At 59.4% G+C, this 15,271-nt stretch overlaps 1 protein-coding gene across 1 annotated transcript in view, besides 2 other annotated features; it reads left to right on the top strand.

Annotated features, from left to right (window-relative positions):
* Positions 1-3,774, top strand: part of MUC5AC (mucin 5AC, oligomeric mucus/gel-forming) — a 43,186-nt gene extending 39,412 nt beyond the window's left edge. The window contains exons 41-49 of the mRNA NM_001304359.2: positions 104-275; positions 539-640; positions 904-941; positions 1,510-1,632; positions 1,723-1,821; positions 2,007-2,126; positions 2,331-2,400; positions 2,491-2,605; positions 3,074-3,774. Of these exons, the coding sequence (NP_001291288.1) occupies positions 104-275; positions 539-640; positions 904-941; positions 1,510-1,632; positions 1,723-1,821; positions 2,007-2,126; positions 2,331-2,400; positions 2,491-2,605; positions 3,074-3,338 (1,104 nt within the window). The 3' untranslated portion in view covers positions 3,339-3,774. The remainder of the gene's footprint in view (positions 1-103; positions 276-538; positions 641-903; positions 942-1,509; positions 1,633-1,722; positions 1,822-2,006; positions 2,127-2,330; positions 2,401-2,490; positions 2,606-3,073) is intronic.
* Positions 5,063-5,570: an enhancer, noted in NCBI's record as "H3K4me1 hESC enhancer chr11:1223657-1224164 (GRCh37/hg19 assembly coordinates)". NCBI's record gives its function as "activates a minimal SCP1, AML or CMV promoter by ChIP-STARR-seq in naive H9 embryonic stem cells {active_cell/tissue: H9 hESC(naive)}" and the evidence as "EXISTENCE:reporter gene assay evidence [ECO:0000049][PMID:30033119]".
* Positions 5,571-6,077: an enhancer, noted in NCBI's record as "H3K4me1 hESC enhancer chr11:1224165-1224671 (GRCh37/hg19 assembly coordinates)". NCBI's record gives its function as "activates a minimal SCP1, AML or CMV promoter by ChIP-STARR-seq in naive H9 embryonic stem cells {active_cell/tissue: H9 hESC(naive)}" and the evidence as "EXISTENCE:reporter gene assay evidence [ECO:0000049][PMID:30033119]".

Raw genomic sequence — 15,271 nt, forward strand, 5'->3', positions numbered from 1 at the left:
GGCCTCCACACCTGGCTGCCCCGGCACTGCATGAGCCGGGGTGGCTGCTGCACCCCTGGGTGGAGCCGCTGCGGACGCTGGACCTCAGTCCCCTTCCTTGCAGGTGGGCCACACCGTCGGCATGGACTGCCAGGAGTGCACGTGTGAGGCGGCCACGTGGACGCTGACCTGCCGACCCAAGCTCTGCCCGCTGCCCCCTGCCTGCCCCCTGCCCGGCTTCGTGCCTGTGCCTGCAGCCCCACAGGCCGGCCAGTGCTGCCCCCAGTACAGCTGCGGTAAGCCCTTTGCTGGGTGAGGGGCATGGTGTGGCAGGCAGGTGACCCGGAGCCCACTCGGCCCGGACTTTGCTGCTGCCTTGGGGCGTGCACCTGGGGACAGTGCCTACGAGGGCGTCCCCTCCTCCGCTTCCGCAACAGCCTCATCTGGAGACCCCCGAGCGGGCTGTCTAGGCGGTCCGCAATCCTAGAGACCCCAGGGGGTGGGCCTTCGGGTGGGGGCGGGGGACAGACTCCTAATTGCCTCACTCCCGCCCCCGCAGCCTGCAACACCAGCCGCTGCCCCGCGCCCGTGGGCTGTCCTGAGGGCGCCCGCGCGATCCCGACCTACCAGGAGGGGGCCTGCTGCCCAGTCCAAAACTGCAGTGAGTGGCCTGGACCAGGCCCTGTCAGGGGCCGTGGGCTGGGGTCTCCACCTGGGATTTTGGGGGGCCATAACCAGATGCCAGTGCGGCTTGTCCACTGCGGGTCTGTGGCTCTGGACTGAGCCTTCCGCAGAGATGAGGCTGGACAAACCCCAGTGGCGAGCCCGGGAATGAGGCGCCCAGGAGGCTGCAGGGGCGGGAATGCTGAGGGTGAGGGGAGAGTGGGCGGCGGGGGGTGCAGCTGCTTGTCTTCTCGTGGGCAGGCTGGACAGTGTGCAGCATCAACGGGACCCTGTACCAGGTAAGAGCCACGGAGCTCAGACCCCCTCAGCCATAGGGACGGAGCTTCCCACTGACCCTGAGGCCCAGGTAGACTTTGGAGCAACTGCCAACTCCGGCCGAGGCCAGGGACTCGAGTCTCTGCAGACACAGCCCACTATCAAGTGTGGCTGAGGCCCGAGGTCGGCCCCAGGTCCCGGAAATATGGACATCTACACCCTGGCCTGCCTGGCTCCGGGGGGCTCCGGGGGACTTTGCCTCTCCTGGCACCACAGCACAGCCAGGCCTGGATCCCACGGCTCTGTCCTGAGCCGGCTGAGTATGTGGCCCTGCAGAGTGTGTGGCCTTGTTGGGCACCCCATCCAAGGGGGTGCAGCGTGGGGCTCTGCTCTAGGGATGGGGACCCTGGGCTGTGGCCTCTGCACCAAGAGGTGCCACCACGAGTCACCCCAGGGGTGCAACTCGGCCTGGTAGGAAGCGGCCTGGAGGGGGATGTCTGGGAAGTTGGGGGCAGCAAGCCAGTGGGGAGGCAGGGGCGGGTCTCCCCAGGGCCCAAGCTCATGAGTGTCTGCTGCCCTGGCTCTCCCCAGCCCGGCGCCGTGGTCTCCTCGAGCCTGTGCGAAACCTGCAGGTGTGAGCTGCCGGGTGGCCCCCCATCGGACGCGTTTGTGGTCAGCTGTGAGACCCAGATCTGCAACACACACTGCCCTGTGGTGAGCGCTCCCACCCTGCCCCGACCCTGCCCTGGCTCTTGGGGGGCAGCGGTCGCCTGGATTCCAGCCACATGTCCATCCCTCCCGCAGGGCTTCGAGTACCAGGAGCAGAGCGGGCAGTGCTGTGGCACCTGTGTGCAGGTCGCCTGTGTCACCAACACCAGCAAGAGCCCCGCCCACCTCTTCTACGTGAGTAGTGGCTGCCACAAAGAGGAAGGGCAGGGTCTGGGAGCACTGGGGCATGTGGGGACCTGTCGTTGCCAGGCATGCGTCTGGCAGAGGCTGGGGACTCTCTGGAAGCCCACGGGCTGGGGTGCAGACAGAGGGACAGACGGAGGGAGGGTCACTCACCCCGGGGCCTGGCCTCCCTCCAGCCCGGCGAGACCTGGTCAGACGCAGGGAACCACTGTGTGACCCACCAGTGTGAGAAGCACCAGGATGGGCTCGTGGTGGTCACCACGAAGAAGGCGTGCCCCCCGCTCAGCTGTTCTCTGGTGAGGTCCAGGATCCCCGCTCCAGCCAAGGGGGGCTTCACCCCTAGATGGGTTTGGGGGGCTGTGATCATCCCTGCAGCGCCAGCAGACACCCCCTCCTGCTTGGGGCTGTCCACTCCTGAGCCTGGCCCCATGTCCCCATCCCTCACTTCTGTGGGGGCCGCCGAGCGCCTCGGCACTGAGGGCGCCCCTCTGTCGGCACAGGACGAGGCCCGCATGAGCAAGGACGGCTGCTGCCGCTTCTGCCCGCCGCCCCCGCCCCCGTACCAGAACCGTGAGTACCCAGCCTGCTGGGCGGGGCGGGCTCCACCCTCAGAGGTCTAGGAGCAGCTGGGCTGGTCCTAAACCCTGTGTTCCTCTCCAGAGTCGACCTGTGCTGTGTACCATAGGAGCCTGATCATCCAGCAGCAGGGCTGCAGCTCCTCGGAGCCCGTGCGCCTGGCTTACTGCCGGGGGAACTGTGGGGACAGCTCTTCCATGTACGTGCCTGGGCAGCAGGCAGGGAGACGCGATTGGCTGTGGGGTGCAGTCAGGGCCCCCAGGGCTCTAGGTGCCAGATAGACGAGGGGCAGGACCATGAGGGGCCAGGCAAAGGGCTCTGAGGGTGAGGCGGGAAAGGGGTCCTGAGATGGCAAGGGTGGGGCTGGGGTAACTACATCCCCAGAGCCTGTGTCGGCATCACGCTCTCCTGTTTACTGAGCTCCGCCAGGAACTTGCCGCAGCCGCCCCGAGTCTCCCTCCCTCCCATCAGCACGGAGCCGGGGTCGGCCCTGGTGGGACTGTTGGCGCCTGGGGAACTGGCAAAGGAGAGCTGGTTGTCAGACACTGGCAGCATGCCTCCAGGAGCAGGGAACACGATGAGGCCGCCCAGAGCTCGGCACGGCGCCGGCTTACGGCAGGAGGCTGGGGTGGCGCAGCAGCTGGTGCTGAGCAGCCCCTGCCCACAGGTACTCGCTCGAGGGCAACACGGTGGAGCACAGGTGCCAGTGCTGCCAGGAGCTGCGGACCTCGCTGAGGAATGTGACCCTGCACTGCACCGACGGCTCCAGCCGGGCCTTCAGCTACACCGAGGTGGAAGAGTGCGGCTGCATGGGCCGGCGGTGCCCTGCGCCGGGCGACACCCAGCACTCGGAGGAGGCGGAACCCGAGCCCAGCCAGGAGGCAGAGAGTGGGAGCTGGGAGAGAGGCGTCCCAGTGTCCCCCATGCACTGACCAGCACTGCCGCCCTCCTGACCTCCAAGGAGAACCTCCCATATGTCCTCTGAGCTCGGCTTCCAAGGCCAGTGGAACTTGTGCCCCTGTCCAGGCGGCTGCAGCTTTGAACACACTGTCCACGCCCGCTTTCTTGTGGAGGGTGTGGGCTATGGGTCACCTGCTGCCTGGAGGAGGGGCCCTTACCCACCCCGCCTGCAGCCACCTCTCAGGACCAGCCCCGGGGCTGGCCGAGCTCCTCTGGCCATGCATCCAGCCTGCTGTTCTGGGGACGTGAGCATCACCTGAGGGTCTCAGGAATGACGCTTGGACATGGTGATCAGCTGCCTGGTGGCTGCAGGAGGAAGAACCTCACTCCTACCTCAGCCCTCAGCCTGCGCTCCCCTCCTCAGTACACGGCCAATCTGTTGCATAAATACACTTGAGCATTTTGCAATTTGTGGACTGTGCATTTTTTGAGATTGTTCATAAAATCCAGGAATAGGGTGGGGGCAAACCCGGGCCCTGTGGGGTGCACACCTCAGGCCAGCCACCCAGTACTGGGCAGCCCTGCTGCTTCTGTGGGCTGGCTGGGACAGTGTCTCTCTGCTCAGAGAGGAGAGGCCAGAGCTTGGATCTGCCCCAAGAAGAGACCACCACCCTGCAGAGGTCTTTGAGGGCTTGGCTGCAGTCTAGAGTCCAGGATGCATCTGTTCAGAACACAGAGAGTGAGTGAATGAGAGTGAGAGAATGAATGAGTGAATAAATGGGTGAGTGAATAAGTGAGTGCATGAGTGAGTGAATGAATAAGTGAATGTGTGAGTGAGTGCATGTGAGTGAGTGAATGTGAGTGAATGAATGTGAGTGAATAAGTGAGTGACTGAGTGAATGAGTGAATGAATGAGTGAATGAGTGAGCAAATAAGTGAATGAGTGAGTGAATAAGTGAATGCATGAGTGAATGAATAAGTGAATGTGTGAGTGAATGAGTGCATGTGAGTGAATAAGTGAGTGCATGAGTGAGTGAATAAGTGAATGTGTGAGTGAATGAGTGCATGTGAGTGAATAAGTATGTGAGTGAGAGATTGAGTGAATGAGTGAATGAATGAGTGAATGAGTGAGCAAGTGAGTGAATAAATGAATGAGTAAATGAGTGGGTGAATGAACAAGTGAATGAGTGAATGAGTGAATGAGTGAGCAAATGAGTGAGTGAATAAATGAATGAGTAAATGAGTGGGTGAATGAACAAGTGAATGAGTGAGTGAGCGAATGGGTAAGTGAATGAGCGAATGAGTGAGAGAATGAGTGAATGAGTGAATAAGTGAATGAGTGAATGAGTGAGTGAATGAGTGAATGAGCGAGTGAATGAGTGAGTGAATAAGTGAATGAGTGAGTGAATGAGTGAATGAGTGATGAATGAATGCGTGAGGGAGGGAGTCAGCAGGGAATGGGACCAGCCCAGGCATCCAGGGCACCTCATGGCCCAGGCAAGGGCCTCTGACATGGGAGGGCTGCCCCTGGTGATGGAGGCGTTCTGGGATGGGGGGTTCCAGCTCTGTGCAGCTCCTAGACTCGCCGTTACTGGGGCTGAGCTTGGGCTGTGCACACTCCTGAGTGTATCTGCAGGCAAGCGGGAGGTCGGCAACCCCACGGAGCGTCTGCTGGATGCTCTGCAGAGGGTGGGCTGGGCCCTGGAAGCTTGTCACTCTCTTAGTCCTCTCTGACCACCGCCACCCCTCCCCGGAGCCTCCATGTTCCTGATGCCCAGTGTTCTCCTCTTGGAGGGCTCCAGGGAGTCTGCAGATTCCCTTGGACACACCGGCCTCGGGCTGGGCCCTGCCTCAGCCACATAGCAGCACCAGTAGAGTGGGCGGCACTGACCCGGCATCCCAGGAGTGGGCAGAGGGGTCTGGAGGAGCCCAGGCTGAGCCGGGTGGGGCTGGGGAGCCCACTGCCTAGACAGGGCCAGCGCAGGGCGGGGGAAAGACAGGGAGGGCTGTGGTCGGCCCTGGCCAGGCCTGTGGCCCACACAGGAAGGCCCAGGAACATCTGGAGCCCCCCACGCCTGATGGTGGGACAGGTGGGTGGGAAGCTGCGCCCAGAGTGGAGGCGGTGACGTGGCAGGCACCAGCTCCCTGGTGACTTTCTGGGGCTCAGGGTCCTGCCCGGGCCTCCCACAGCTTCAGGTGGCCCCAGTGTCCCTCTGGGCCAGAGAGGGTCTCAGGGACCTGTGTACCCTGGGCGTGGTGTGGAGTAGCTGAGGGGCCGGCAGGGGGATTCTCCATCAGCAAGGTGGACGTAGGGGCCCAGCCTCATGTGCCTGTCTGGGTGGGCGCTTTTCCCAGCCCTCCTGGACTTCGGCCGCGCCCATTGCTCCAACCTCCCCCAGCCTCCTTTTCAGGTGCCAGGCCCGGCGGGGTGGGGTCTGGGGAACCGACCTTCCATTCTCAGGCGTGCAGCCGCGCTCCCTGCAGCTGCCACGAGGTGGCAGCACAGTCAGGCCCGGCACCCGTCGGCTCAGGCCTGGGCTCCAGGCACCGCAGAGCCAGGGGAGTCCCGGGTCTCAGCCCACATCCCTCACGGCCTGCCCATGGCCCTGGGAGGCTGAGGACACCCCTCACGGCTTACAGGCACATGGCAGCCTGGAGGGCTTGGGCTGGGCCGGAGGGCCGCGGCCCCTCCCGCTACTGTGTGCCTGGCCCTGTGAGGAGGCCCGGCCAGTCCCAGAGTCCCTCTTGCCCTCAAGCCACGTCTGCAGGCACTGGGAGGTCAGAAGGCAAGGCCGGCCCAGTCCCTGCACCAGGATTTTTGACCCAATGGCAGGCAGTGAGGCCTCCGTGGCTCCAGCGTTGGCTCACATCTGGGGGTTGCTTTGACAGGTCTCAGGGCTGGGGTGCCCAGGACCCCCCAGGTCCAGTTCTCCAACTGCCTGCCCACCCTGGCCCACTGTGTGCTCCCAGACACCTGGGCAGTGGGGCTGCCTCCGAGCCTGACTGCTGGGGTGAGCAGGTGGGGCAGAGGAGGCTCCCCAGCCTCGACCCATGTCCTCTTGGCGGCCAGGCGGAAGCACAGCCCGGGAACTCCCGCTCTAAGACCCGTCGGCTCCAGCGCTCTGCTGACCACCTGACCTCACAGCCGCAGGGCACCCTAACCAGCACCAGTGTGCCCGGGGTGGATCAGGTATCCTAGAAAGCTGCCAATTCCTCTCAGGGTAGGGTGGGAACGGCTGACTAATCCCCCACCCCCTGGGGTGAGCTTGGCCCCACGGCCTCCTGCCCGGCGCTCCCTGCCTGGAACACGGCAGAGTGGCCGGAGGTAACCAGATAGCAGGTCCCTGGGAGGGAGCAGCCGCCTCCCGGCTGCCCACCTGGGTCGCCACAGCCCCTGGCCCCGGTTATGCAAGTCGCCATTCCGGAAAGAGCCACAGAGATGGGTGTGGCCCCAAACACCTTGGCGGCTGCCAGCCTGCCCCTGCTCCCCACTCCTCCTGGACGTGAGCGGGAAGAGGCCAGGGCTGGCCTGGGTGGCCCCTGCCCCACCCCCCACACTCCCGTGCCAGGAGGCTGCCTGGAGTATGGCCTTGGCGGAGGCGTCACGTCGAGGCTGGACACTCATGATTCTAGGACCCCTCCAGGAGCCAAAACTTCCCCCAGGCTGATGGAGAAGGGGTGTCCCACCATGTGCCCAGGGAGTCCATATTGGGGCCCATACTGGGGCCAGGTCCCAGATAAGGGGACCTGGGAGGCTCCTGGCCATGGGGAGCAAGATGGACAGAGACGCAGGGCTCAGGGGTCTGTGACCATGGAGGGTGGGCTGTGCTCTCAGCCCCCTCCCAGCTCTCCCCAGCATGGCAGCACCCAGGGCTCCTGAGGAGCTGGGTCCCCGCAGTCGGCCACATCTTGGGGTGTGCACAGGCAGCAGCTCCGAGCTCTGGGCAGCAGGGTGGGTCCCCATGGTTGGCCACATCTTGGGGTGTCCCCAGCAGCAGCTCTGAGCTCCCGGGCAGCAGGGTGGGTCCCCGCGATTGGCCACGTCTTGGGGTGTGCACAGGCAGCAGCTCTGAGCTCCTGGGCAGCAGGATGGGTCCCCGTGATCGGCCACATCTTGGGGTGTCCCCAGCAGCAGCTCTGAGCTCCCGGGCAGCAGGGTAGGTCCCCGCGGTCGGCCACGTCTTGGGGTATCCCCGGCAGCAGCTCTGAGCTCCTGGGCAGCAGGATGGGTCCCCGCGATCGGCCACGTCTTGGGGTGTCCCTGGCAGCAGCTCTGAGCTCCGGGCAGCAGGGTGACTTCTTGGAGCAACCAGAGATCCAGGGCAGCTGCCTGGCCCAGGTGCAGAGAGATGGATGCTGCGGTGGCATGGATGCCAGCTGAAGCCCTGGGAGCAGAGAGACCTGAGGATGATTTTAAGGAGGCTGGGGCCAGTGTAGGGAAGCAGGGCAGCTGCCCGGGGCTGGCCACTCACCCTGGGCACAGCTCCTGCCCCCAGGTGTGCCTGTATTCAGGACGGGCACCGACTGTGTGCTCGAATGTCCCTAGGCAGGACCCGGAACGTGTTTGACTGAGGGACAGCCTCGTGGGGGACAAAAGACTGCAGAAGAGGTGACCACCTATGTAGAGAACCCGACTGAACCAACAGAGGAGCCATGGGTGCTGACGGGACAGCCCCACAGAGCCTTGGCTAGAGCGGCCCAAAGTCAGCGTGGTTCTTCCACACCCTGGACCACCACCGGAAAACGACCACGTCTCTGGCTGTGTGAAGCTGCGTAGTGAATGTCCATGTCTCCAGCAGCAGGCTGGAGGGATGCAGAGGAGGACTCAGAGACGGAAGGGGCATTGCACACACAGGCGTGGCTCCCCCAGGCCGATGGCAGCTGGTGAGAGCTTTGGAGGAAGTTGGCAAACTCGTAGAATCTACCCGGACTGAAAAAGGTCCTCAAATATCCAGGTGGATTTTGAAAGGCACGAGCAAAGAGTGCAGTGCCCTGCCACCCAGGAGGGCTCCCCAGCAATCATCGCAGGGAAAGCGCCCCTCCCCCTGGGCCACAGTGGCTTCCAGCAGCCGTGCTGTGTGGGCCGCCCCACGCAGGCCAAAGGGACCCACTGAGGGCCCGGTGAGGTGCCCGTGTCCCTGGGGCCTCGCCGTGTTGCAGGAGCAGTGCGCAGGGCTGTCGGCTCCTGAGCATCTGCTGGAAGGCCTGCAAGGTTTGGTCGCTGAGTGCTCACAGCTCAGAGCCCAGGGGTGGAGCCTGGCCCTCACAGTGAGCAGAGCAGACGAGATCACCGGGTGGAAGGAACCCCAAACTGGAGCTACAGGGCAAAATAAGCAGAAAAGGAGAATTCAAGATATTGGGGCTAGAACTGTGGGGGTGCTGACCAGAGCCTGCGGGAGCCTGGGGTGCGTGTGGGGTTGGGGGTGGCGGGACAGAGAGCCCCGCTGGGAGCAGGGCTGCAAGAGAGCCCCCAGCCAGGGTGGCTGGACCAAGGTGGGCCAGGAGGGGTGGATACAGAGGTGGCCAGGCCAGGCCGAGTGCGGCGGGCTTTGGAGGTCCCAGTAGAGGCACCTCGAAGTCTGCCTCAAATCCTGCTGCTTCTCACTCACCCTGGGGCTTTCTCAATGCTCATAAAACCCACCTGGAGGTCACACACAGGCTGCTGTATTTTTACAGAATAGAATAAAAAATAAAACCCCAGAGGGTGACGGTGACAAAGTATGTGCATCCTGGGCGCTGGAGAAAGACATTTTTATGACTGAGGTTCTGGGAGGCGTAGACACAGCGGCCCGGAGGACATGGAGAGCAGCAAGTTCAGGTCAGAAAGAAGGCGCCTGCAGGCAGGACTATGTGGCTGGGAGGCCGCAGTGCGTCCGGCGGCCCCGACACAGGCCCAGCGGGAAGGACGTGCTGGCGCCGCACTCTCTGCTCTCACCCGCCATCGTCGTCCGGACTGACTGTTTATCCGAAGGCGACGTGCACCCCTCACCGCAATCTCACCCCACTCCCTGCCTCGCACAACCATCCCTGCCCGGCCCGCCCACTTCTCCAAATGGGGGGCTCCTCAGCCCTCGGAGCCCACCCCTGGGGTCCCCCAGCCTTGGTGCCTTAGCTGGGACTGTGGGGTGAGGGCTTCTGTGCTGGCCCCACCCTCACCAGGTGAAGGTAGACAATGAAGACTGGGCCACCTGAGCTGTGGGGCCTGCGAGACTCAGAGGCCGCTGGCTGGGCCCCTGTCAATGGTGGAGGCAGCTCTGTCACCTCCGGGAGCTCGCCCTGCTCACGACCCACCACGTGCCACCCTAGTCCCAGACCCTGCAGGGGCCCTGAGAGCGGTGCTTACCAAACCAGAGGCAGAGGTCCTGAACCCCAAACCATCCAGACCCATCCCAGGCCAGCGTCCCACTGCTCCTCTCTGGCTGGGCTGAGCCAGAGGCTCATTCCCACCCGGGCAGGGTTGGGGGGCTGCTCCTCTGACTGTCCCACCCAGAGGGAGATCAGCCCTGATGCACCACCCCTGCAGGCCCCGGGGGCTCAGGCTGCCTCGCCCAGCACCCACCCTGGAGGCCTCAGATGCCTGGGCGGGGGCTGGCAGGAGGGTGCCAGGGAAGGGCCCCCAAGCTGATGTCCCCGGCCGATGGCTCTCAAGCTTCTACCCTCCCACGAAAGGATGGTTCAGAATTTAGTGAAAACTGAGAATCCACGTCCTGCTGGGAGGGGCCCTGGCAGGCTGGCTCCAGCTCACAGGGTTCAGGAAGAAGCCCCTGGGGGCAGGGAGGTCACCAGGCCACACCCTGGTGGTAGGATGTGCCTTAGGTCCCCAGAGCCAAGAGGCACTATGGCCTTGCTCCCGGCACCCGACCCCACCTGCCGTGGACCCGTGCGCCTGTGCGCAGCTCAGGAAGCCACCGGTAGCTCCACTGAGACCAGCCTCCTCTCCCGGGGCGTCTCAGCTGTCCCCGGGGCCACGTCCCCCCCTCACTTGGGTCTCCACAGCAGCGCCGGCCGAGCTGGTTTGCAGACTCTGCCTCTGGAGAATCGTGGGCGGTGGCTCCTGTTTGCCTACGTGTGTGCTGCATGGACAGAGCTGCAAGGCCCCGGGCGAACATGCAGGCAGACGGACGTGGATACACAGAGGCTTGGAAATGCCTCTTCAGCCCTGCTAAGAGCTGGCCCTGGGGCTTTGCTCCCCTTCCCTGGAAGCAGAGCGTGGGGCTGCTCAGCTGGGCAGAAGCCCGTCCGTCCAGAGGCTCAGCAACGCCAGGGCAGGGCCCCTGCTGACCCCAGGCCAGTCCCACCATCCTCCTGGGCGATAAAGGGTCGGTGCTGAGTGACCTTAAGTTCTGAGAAAGGGGCCTGGCAGCAGCTCTCGACCAAACTCTGCCAAAGCCTCAGGCCGGCCATGGGCGAGGCTGCCCCTCATGTCCCCGCGGCTGGGTAGAACTGGGCGTGAGGCCTTGGTCTGGTCGCCAACCTTTTCCCTACAAACAAGTCCTCATTGTGCCCCTTGAGCTGTTCTGACCACCGTGACCTCTGAATGGGGTCGTAGGTCAGAGTTCAGAGTTCACTCACCACTGCCCTTGGAGCAGCTCTGACTCTGTACCCCACAGGGGTGTGGGCGCATTCGCCGCCATCTGCTCAGACCACACAGGCTTTCAGAACGTCAGCCTCATCCCAGATGTGGGGCAGGCAGGGCCCTGGTGAGGCTGAGTGCACAGACAGGGCGGCCGGGCCCAAAGGTGAAAGGGGCGGGGATCACGCCTGGGCCTGTGTCCCGTGAGGGTCGGGCCCTGCAAGTGGGCTGCCCCTCTGCTGCTCGGCCTGCCCCATCACGGCGCGGGAGTCAGGACTGTGGTGGGTCCCTTGGGCTGGGCCTGGATCTCCCTTTCCCAGTTCTTGCAGGGGCCCTGGGGCCAGGTGGGGCAGGAGCCGGCGGTAGCAGGAGCCTGTAGGGCTTGGGTGTGGGTGCTGGCCTTGGTATCAGGTGCCTAACCCAGCACCGGGCCACTGGGGAAGGTGGCCTCAGCCACACGGGGCCACGTTGGCCCCTCTGCCAGCCTCGCAGGCGCTAAGTCAACATCGGGGTTCCTGGAGGGAAGGGAGGGCCTGTTTGCCGCTGACACTTGGCAGGGAACTGGACAACGTGCGCCCCACTCCTGTTTGCTCTGACTCGAGTTGTCTTAATCCTGAGCAAATGCGGCCAAGGGGCCTGCCTCGGCCTTGTCCTCTGTCCACACTCTGCCCGCATCCTCACCTGCCCGCCACACTGAGGTCACGCCTGCCCGCCACACTGAGGTCACGCCTGCCCGCCACACTGAGGTCACGTCTGCCCGCCACACTGAGGTCACGCCTGCCCGCCACACTGAGGTCATGCCTGCCCGCCACTGTGAGGCACCCCAAGACTCTGGCCCTGCATGGGGGTGCTGCTTCCCCAGGAGACTCTCAGGGCTGGGGAGCCACTAAGCATCCACGGTGCCAGGGCCAGGACAGCCCCGACACCGGCCTCAGCACCTGGCCATGGCACGCCAGCCCCTTGCATCCCTGTTGCCTGCTCAGGCTGTCTCTGCCATGTCCCCCTCCTCCTCCTTCCACACGTGTCCCCTCCACTTCTCCCTTTTCCCTTTTGTCCCCCTTCACTACTGCACCCCTGCATCCAGGCCCCACTGGGCTACTGCAGGGGATGCATTCTGGTGGCATCATGCCTCTGGGGAAAGTCCTCCTTCGCTGTGGTTCTGAACTTGCAGGTAAGTTGAATGAGTGGAACAGAGACCTCCTCCATGCCCTTCCTCAGGCTCTGGGGCTTGTGTTTTGTTCCAGGGACTTGTGCTATTTGCTGTCTGTAGCTACATATTTTTCTGAACCTCTGGTGTTTGAGAAGCATGTCCCTTCACCCTTATATACGCAGACGTGTCGCCTAGAAACAGCAGGGGTCACACCCAGACGGGTCGGTGACGTGACATCACAGCCCAGAGGCAGACCCCTCTGCTGTCCTGCCCGCGTCCATCACAGCTTTCATCTTTCCCACCCCAGGGTTTGGCGTAGGACCACCTGTCCCACCACTGCCAGCTCTTCAGTCTCCTTGTATCTGGAATCTGTCCTCAGCTTTTCTGTTTCTTGACCGTGGTCTTTTGAGGAGAGTAGGCTGGTTATGTTGCGTGGCACCCCTAAGTCTGTCTGAGGTTTGCTTGTGCTCCAGCTGGGCTGTACCCTGGCAGGGTCACCACGGGGAAGCTGTGCGTGTCTCCAGAGGATGTGATGTCGATTGGACCCAGCACTGGGACGCCAGCCTTCATCACTTGGTTCAGGGGTGTCTGCCGGTTTTCTCCACTGGAAAGTTGTTGGGAACAGGCCCCCCAAAATCTGCCCATAAACTGGCCCCAAAACTGGCCATAAACAAAATCTCTGCAGCACTGTGACATGTTCATGATGGCCATGACGCCTACGCTGAAGGTTGTGGGTTTACTGGAATGAGGGCAAGGAACACCTGGCCCACCCAGGGTGGAAAACCGCTTAAAGGCGTTCCTAAGCCACAAACAATAGCATGAGTGATCTGAGCCTTAAGGACATGCTCCTGCTGCAGATAACTAGCCAAACCCATCGCTTTATTTCAGCCCATCCTTTCATTTCCCATAAGGAATACTTTTAGTTAATCTATAATCTATAGAAACAATGCTTATCACTGGCTTGCTGTTAATACATACGTGGGTAAATCTGTGTTCGAGGCTCTCAGCTCTGGAGGCTGTGAGACCCCTGATTTCCCACTCCACATCTCTATATTTCTGTGTGTGTCTTTAATTCCTCTAGTGCCACTGGGTTAGGATCTCCCCGACCAAGTTGGTCTCAGCAGAAAGTTGCCATCTCCTCCCCTGGAGCTAAGGAGTCTCTTGTGGGAGGTGCTTCAGGACCACATAATTATTCTATTCCTCCCTAGCTGCTGTGTGTTAACTAGTGTCAATATCCATTAATGAGTCTAATTCCTCCCACTTTTCTTAGTCTTTCTCTCTAAAAACTGGGAGAGCTCCCGGCATTCAAGGAAATCTCTGTCAAAACATCAGTTGAACATGAGCTAAAGGAACACAGACTTCATGATCACACATGACAAGAAATAGTCTTTGGCAGCCAGGTGTGGTGGCTCACGCCTGTAGTCCCAGCACTGTGGGATGCCGAGGAGGGCAGATCACCTGAGGTCAGGAGCTCAAGACCAGCCTGACCAATATAGCAAAACCAGTCTCTACTAAAAATACAAAAAATTAGTCAGGTGTAGTGGTGGGTGCCTGTAATCCCAGATACTTGGAAGGCTGAGGCAGGAGAATTGCTTGAACCCAGGAGGCAGAGGTTGCAGTGAGCGTGCCATTGCACTCCAGCCTGGGCAACAGAACAAGACTCTGTCAAGAAAAAAAAAACACACCAAGAAACAGCCTTTGCAAAGTTCACTTAAAAACATCTCGAATGGATCACTGTAGCCTTCAATAATAAAAAAGAAGAGAAAAACCCAGCCAACACTAGAAAAAGGGGGAAATCTGATTTCCAGAGTTACCACATTATAATAGTTAAATCCCCAATTTTCAACAAAAAAATCACAAGACTTACAAAGAAACAATATAGCCCATCCAGAGGAACAAAATAAACTGGGAGAAGTTATCCCTGAGTAAATTCAGACATCAGTCTTACTAGCCAGTGATTTTAAAGCAACTGTCTTAAGTTGCTCAAAGAACTAAAGCAAAAGACGGACAAAGAACCAAAGGAGGTCAGTAAGACAATGCACGTACAAAATGAGAATACCCACAAAGAGACAGAAATCTTTTTAAAAAGAACCAAACAGATATTCTGTACTTGGAAATTATAATAACTGAAATGAAAAAAAATCACTAGAGGGGTTCAACAGCATATTTGAGCAGTTATAAGAAAGGCTCAGCCAAACTTGAAGACAAGGCAATTGAAATGATCAAGTCTGAGGAGCAGAAAGAAAAAAAGATTGAAGAAAAGTGAATAGAATCTGAGGTGCTTGTTGACCACCAAGTGGGTCTTACAGGAGGAGAGAAAGGGAGAAATTATTCAAAGAAACTCAAAAAAATTCAAAGGAACAAAAATGGCCAAAAGCTTTCTAAAATTGATGAAAAACATGAATCTACAAATCCAGGGAGTTCAAGAAACTCCAAGTAGGATAAACTCAAAGAGATCCACACTGAGACACATTATAATCAAACAGTTGAAGGATAAAAGCAAAGAAAGAATCTCAAAAGCAAGAAGAGACGTGACTTGTCGTATTTAAGGGATCTTCAGTAAGATTGGCAGCATATTTACCATCAGAAACCTTAAAGGCCAGCAAGGTAGTGGATGATAACATTTAAAGTGCTGAAATTAAAAAACAACAACACTGTCAACCAAGAATTCTATATCTGGCAAAACTGTCCTTCAAAACTTAGGGTGAAATTAGGACATTACCAGATAAACAAAAGGTAAGGGATTTGTTGCCACTAGCCAAGCCCTGCAAGAAATGCTACACAAAGTCCTTCAGGCTGAAATAAAAGGACACTAGACAGTAACTCAAAGCTGTAAAAAGAAATAGATCTTCACTGAAACTACATACATGGCCAAATATAAAAATCCAGTATTACTGTAAATTTGATTTTAATCCACTTCTTCTTTTCTACAGGATATAAAAGGCAAATGCATAAAAATAACTATAAATCTATGTTATTGAATACACAAGGTATAAAGATGTAATTTGTGACATCAATGAAATAAAGGGAGGGGGTGGAGCTGTGTAGAAGGAGGGTTTTGTGTGCAATTAAAGTTATGTTGGTATCAATTCAAACTAGACTGTTATAACTTTAGGATGTTATATGTCATCCCGAGGGTAACCACAAAGAAAATGCTATAGAATATACACAAAAAGAAATGAGAAGGGAATAAAAATTTGTCACTTCAAAAAATCAACTGAAGACAAAAGAAGGCAGTGATG

Source organism: Homo sapiens, chromosome 11 (assembly GCF_000001405.40).
Source record: "Homo sapiens chromosome 11, GRCh38.p14 Primary Assembly".
NCBI lineage: Eukaryota > Metazoa > Chordata > Mammalia > Primates > Hominidae > Homo > Homo sapiens.